The sequence below is a fragment of the Homo sapiens genome, chromosome 7 (genome assembly GCF_000001405.40).
Source record: "Homo sapiens chromosome 7, GRCh38.p14 Primary Assembly".
Lineage (NCBI taxonomy): Eukaryota > Metazoa > Chordata > Mammalia > Primates > Hominidae > Homo > Homo sapiens.
In genome coordinates this window covers 47,610,564-47,616,284 of record NC_000007.14, presented here as the reverse complement: position 1 = coordinate 47,616,284, position 5,721 = coordinate 47,610,564, and the positions used below count along the sequence as shown (strand labels likewise).

Genomic DNA, 5,721 nt, shown 5'->3' with positions numbered 1-5,721 from the left:
GGTACCACACAGGGAGGGAAGAGCCTTCAACACAACCCAGCTCCAGCCCCAGTCTGAGCACACCCATGGGGACCAGAGACCTGAGTCAGCGCTGCTGACCTGAGCCCATTAGCCCCTAGGACTAGGAGACATAATAGTAATAAGTGAGCCGGGCACAGTGGCTCATGCCTGTAATCCCAGCACTTTGGGAGGCTGAGGCAGGTGGATCACCTTAGCCCAGGAGTTCTAGACCATCCCGGGCAACATGAGACCCCATCTCCACAAACAATTTTTTAAAAATTAGTCAGGCATGATACCATGTGCTTTAGTCCCAGCTACTAGGAAGGCTGAGGTGAAAAGATCACTTGAGCCCAGGAGTTTGAGATTGCAGAAGGCGAGATCACACCACTGCACTCCAGCCTGGGTGACAAAGGGAGACCCTAATTCAAAAAAAAGAATAAATAAAAAGTAATAAACGATTATTGTTTACAGCCATGAAGTTTTGGGTTGGTTTTGTTGTTCAACAATAGTTAACTAGAACAGTCCTAAGCTCACAGACAAGGAAACAGAGTTAGAGTGAGCATGAACTCTTCCCTAAGCAGAGAGTGGCAGGAGCTGGGCTCCCACAGAGTTTGTTGTCACCAGTGTCTTGACTGCTTGTTGTTACTAGGCTTACCCTTTAAGATAGCATAACACATTCAGATATTAAGTGAAGCTATGTTTATTTTATTTTATTTTATTTTATATATATATATATATTTTTAGACAGAGTCTTACTCTGTTGCCCAGGCTAGAATGCAGTGGCGCGATCTCAGCTCACTGCAAGCTCTGCCTCCCGGGTACATGCCATTCTCCTACCTCAGCCTCCCGAGTAGCTGGGACTACAGCCGCCCGCCATCAGGCCCGGCCAATTTTTTGTATTTTTAGTAGAGACGAGGTTTCACCATGTTAGCCAGGATGGTCTCGATCTCCTGACCTCATGATCCACCCACCTCGGCCTCCCAAAGTGCTGGGATTACAGGCATGAGCCACTGTGCCTGGCCTATTGAAATTATTTTAAACATTAAATTGATTTCAGTCACTTATAAGTCATTTAAGGTAAGAGGGTGAATTCATGAGTTCCCGAATAGGAAGTGGGGAGACTCGATTTCTCTCTGGCCAGGCTGGTGCTATCAGGAAGTATGCCTTTCTACTGCACGGGCACTGCACTGGTCAGCCGAAGTGTCCTTTCTCCTGTGTTCCCTCGTTTGATAATCAGACCAGTGTTGGCAAGATGGGAATAGAGATAATGGGCCAGCCTTTCTGGTTGCCCATGGCCTAGGGGTGAGGTTGGGCTGGTGGGGTCAGCATGGACATCTAGGGTCCTTGAGTGCAGTCATAGAGCCACGGGCCAAGTCTGGGGCAGCACAAAGAGGGCCTTCAGCTCCACTGAGGGCCCGGAGCTTCTCAAAGGCAGAGATCTTGGCCAGAGGAGGACTGGCAGGGGTTTGGCAGCACAGGAGAAAGCTGGTTTTATGCTGAGCGGTGGCATACAGCATGGCATTGTGGAAGGAGAGGTTCTACACCTGCCTGTGCCAGGAACAACAGGCATCCTGCTGCACGAGCCATCCAGGTGTGAGGGCTCTGTCCTGCCCACAACGGCCAGCCCACCTGCCTGGAAAGCACTGCTGCTGCTTGGGGCCAGCCATTCGATTACTCAGCATATCCTCTGTCCTCTGCTTTGTCTGCTGAAAAGGCCAGGGCTCTTTCCTAGGCCCTTCAGTTCCACAAGCTCGGGGCCCAGCTCTTTGGTGCAACTGTGTGTACTCCTGAAGATGGACATTTTACAGATGGCTCCAAATTGCTCTGTTTTCCCGCTGTCCCAAGCATCTGCAACAGCTAACACCAGGCTCAGGTACATTTTTGTGTTAGGGGTTGCACACAAGCAGATATCCACCAAGATTTTCCCCAACTAGTCACTACTAGGAGCAGTTACTCCTACTAGTCTTTACTGAGCCAGATCTTCGGAAAAGCTACCAGTTAAAATTCTGTCCTGGCCAGGTGCGGTGGCTCATGCCTGTAATCCCAGCACTTTGGGAGGCCGAGGCAGGTGGATCATGAGGTCAAGAGATCAAGACCATCCTGCCAACATGGTGAAACCCCATCTCTACTAAAAATACAAAAATTAGCTGGGAGTGGTAGTGTGCACCTGTAATCCCAGCTACTTGGGAGGCTGAGGCAGGAGAATTGCTTGAACCCAGGAGGCAGAGGATGCAGTGAGCCGAGATTTTGCCACTGTACTCCAGCCTGGCGACAGACACAGTGAGACTCCATCTCAAAAAAAAAAAAAAAAATTCTGTCCTTCTGTGGAAGGTTAGTGCCAGTACTCACTCCCTCTGCTGCCTCTATCGCCTTGCCTAGCACTGCCGGGGACTGAGTGGGGCATGTATCCTTCACTGCAGAAACAGTTCAGCCTGGTTCCATTTTGTCAGTAACAAAATGAAACGAAAAGATGAGCTGTTTTTCATTTGCAGTGGACACGAGGGTTGTAAGTCACATAACTTGAGCATGCCCAGATAAACCAAGCATGCCTGATTGGTGATGCCAGAGCCAACCAGAATGAAAAAGACAATCACGTGCAGAACCACATGCAGTCCATCGAGGAACGAGGTCCAAGTTAAGAAGCGAGGATGCCCTGTTTTGTTGCAGTACAAACTTAAAAGCCAAGAACCTAGCACCACCTCTTTGCATGACCCAGTCCAGTCACGCCTGTTGCAGTTTCCTATCTCCCTCATAGTTGTTCTCTGCCTATAAAACCTGCCCCCAGATCCCAGCCTGGGGAGACAGATTTCAGCACTGCCTCCTGTCTCCTTGCCAGTCAACCTTGCAATAAAGCTTTTTCTTTTCACAAAAGCTGATGCTATAATATTGGCTTCTATGCGTAACTAGTGTGAGCCCATTGCTCAGTGATACTTGCTTTCTAGAAAACCCAGAGAGAATCCTAATCTTTGCAAAAAGAAAGAAAGAGGGAAGGAGGGAGAGGGAGAAAGGGAGGAAGGAAAAGAAGGAAGGAAGGAAGGAAGGAAGGTAGGTCTAATCTTCACAATTTCTGCTTTTTTCCATTTTATACAACAAGATATCCATCTTTGCCAGTGGGCAAAGCTGTGAAAGAACACTGGGGAGAGGGAGGGAGGACACGGGTGTTAAAATCCAACAATAAATGCACATGGAGCTGGTGTTGGTGCGGGGAAGAGGAAAGGTCCGACCTCTGCTGTCCTAAGGAAAAAAAAAAAAAAATCCACCTCTTTAAAGTGTTTTTCCAGAGTTTTCATAATGTTTGTCCTAGTACTCTTCCATGTGAGAAAAAAAGTATATTAAAATATAATCCAAAAAATGGGAGTGTGTGAGAAATGCATTTGATAGCAAGTTATTCACCACAGTATTATCCACAATAATTAGAAATAAAAAATCTGCAATGTGGCCGGGCGCAGTGGCTCATGCCTGTAATCCCAGCACTTTCGGAGGCTGAAGCGGGCAGGTCACGAGGTCAGGAGATCGAGACCATCCTGGCTAACACAGTGAAACCCTGTCTCTTCTAAAAATACAAAAAAATTAGCTGGGCATGGTGGTGGGCGCCTGTAGTCCCAGCTACTCGGGAGGTTGAGGCAGGAGAATGGCGTGAACCCAGGAGGCGGAGCTTGCAGTGAGCCAAGATCGCGCCACTGCACTCCAGCCTGGGCAACAGAGAGAGACTCCGTATCAAAAAAAAAAAAAAAAGAAGAAGGAGCAAGATTCAAGCATCAAATATACATTAAACCCAATGTCACAGGAAGTAAACCTAGATATTCCCTGTTCTTTAATCTCTGTGTGCTAGGAATATGAGCAGTTGCTGTAATTTCTGCATTTGCCCCATTTCCCATTCTTCTCCTTCTTCTTCTTCTTCTTCTTCTTCTTCTTCTTCTTCTTATTATTATTATTATTATTATTATTATTATTATTTTGAGATGGAGTCTCGCTCTTTGCCAGGCTGGAGTGCAGTGGCACAATCTCGGCTCACTGCACCATCTGCCTCCCGGGTTCAAGCGATTCTCCTGCCTCAGCCTCCTGAGTAGCTGGGACTACAGGCGCACACCACTACGCCTGGGTAATTTTTGTATTTTTAGTAGAGATGGGGTTTCGCCATGTTGGCCAGGATGGTCTTGATCTCCTGACCTGGTGATCCACCCGCCTTTTCCTCCCAAAGTGCTGGGGTTACAGGTGTGAGCCACCTCGCCTGGGCTCCATTATTATTAAAAACAATCCTTGCTAGGTGCAGTGGCTCACGCCTGTAATCCCAGCACTTTGGGAGGCTGAGGCGGGCGGATCACGAGGTCAGGAGTTTGAGACCAGCCTGGCCAACATGGTGAAACCCCATCTTTACTAAAAATACAAAAATTAGCCGGGCATGGTGGCGCAGGCCTGTAATCCCCGCTATTCAGGAGGCTGAGGCTGGAGAATTGCTTGAACCCAAGAGGCGGAGGTTGCAGTGAGCCGAGATCATGCCCCTGCACTCCAGCCTGGGCGACAGAGTGAGACTCCATCTTAAAAAAAAAAAAAAAAAAGTCTCTGAGACACGGTGACAGAGAGGCTTCTATGGAGCCCTGAGGATGGGCTGAGGAGCAGACAGTGCTGTCGGCGGCTGACTTGCCGGTTTGGGATCCCCCAGGCCAGTGCCCTGGCTCACAGGAGTGGGGCCCGTCTCCAGGACCCAAGTCTGTGTCTTTCATGGGCTCACCATTCCAATATCTCCCTTGCCCTTTCCATCTAACCACTTAGGCCATTTTTGTCTCAAGGAAAAGCAATTGCCCTTTAACTACCAGCTTGTAATTCTTCAACACACCCACCAGATGCTAACCTGATATCTAGACAATTTGCCTTTTCAAGGACAAACCTTCAGGCCTCCATATAAATGCTCAGCCTCCTCTGCAGACCGACCCTGCCACCTGGGCTTGGCTGTTTGCCTGTGTTGATTTGACTTGTCCTTTTGGCCGATTACCCTCTGCCGGGAATTGTTCCTGATGGTGACATTGTAAACCACCAGTATATTATAGAGCTGGAGAAACACAGCGCCTCGTGCAGGATAGGCAACCTTTCTCTTGCCGAGCAATCACTTTGAACGTTTTGGAACTGGAAGAGGGCTGGTGTGAGGCAAATGGCAATAGCTGTGTGTTCCCGGGGCAGAGGGGCACGGTAGTGGGGGCACCCATAGAGACGATTAGCTGTGAATGCTTCCAGATTCCTCCTTAGAACTGCAGAATGGAAGGTGGTACATACCACTCACTAGAAATGGCTTATGTCCAGGACAGCCAAGACTCCAGAAGACAGTGCAGTCTGTGACCAGGGAAGGACCTGACCTGGCAGGGAGAGGAGCTGCTTAAGGAAATTGAGCCTGCCATGAGATTCATCTCCATAAACAATCCCCAGCTAGGAGATCATAACCCTGCTTTCCAAACAGAGCTGCTGTTTTCTACTGTTGCATAATTACACAGATCGCCCAACTGTTTGGGAGAGACCACACATTACTTTTCCAGTTGTGTAAATAGAAACGAGCCAGCAGCAACTAACTGAGCTCCTGGGGGTAGAAATGAGAAGAGGAGGGATGGTGAGGGATGAGCCTGCTCCCAGCAGGGCAATAGGGAGGCCACTGCCGCTGCCTTTGCCTGGAGAGCCCCTGGCAGCCTGCTCTGCACTCTGAAATCAGTGATAGGGCTGAAGGTTTTCTCC

General features: G+C 48.9%; 3 annotated features.

Moving 5' to 3' along the window:
* Positions 974-1,518: an enhancer, noted in NCBI's record as "H3K4me1 hESC enhancer chr7:47654365-47654909 (GRCh37/hg19 assembly coordinates)". NCBI's record gives its function as "activates a minimal SCP1, AML or CMV promoter by ChIP-STARR-seq in naive H9 embryonic stem cells {active_cell/tissue: H9 hESC(naive)}" and the evidence as "EXISTENCE:reporter gene assay evidence [ECO:0000049][PMID:30033119]".
* Positions 1,519-2,065: an enhancer, noted in NCBI's record as "H3K4me1 hESC enhancer chr7:47653818-47654364 (GRCh37/hg19 assembly coordinates)". NCBI's record gives its function as "activates a minimal SCP1, AML or CMV promoter by ChIP-STARR-seq in naive H9 embryonic stem cells {active_cell/tissue: H9 hESC(naive)}" and the evidence as "EXISTENCE:reporter gene assay evidence [ECO:0000049][PMID:30033119]".
* Positions 5,176-5,417: a silencer, noted in NCBI's record as "fragment chr7:47650466-47650707 (GRCh37/hg19 assembly coordinates)". NCBI's record gives its function as "represses an EF-1alpha promoter that drives an FKBP-Casp9 reporter gene in an ReSE screen in HepG2 liver carcinoma cells {active_cell/tissue: HepG2}" and the evidence as "EXISTENCE:reporter gene assay evidence [ECO:0000049][PMID:32094911]".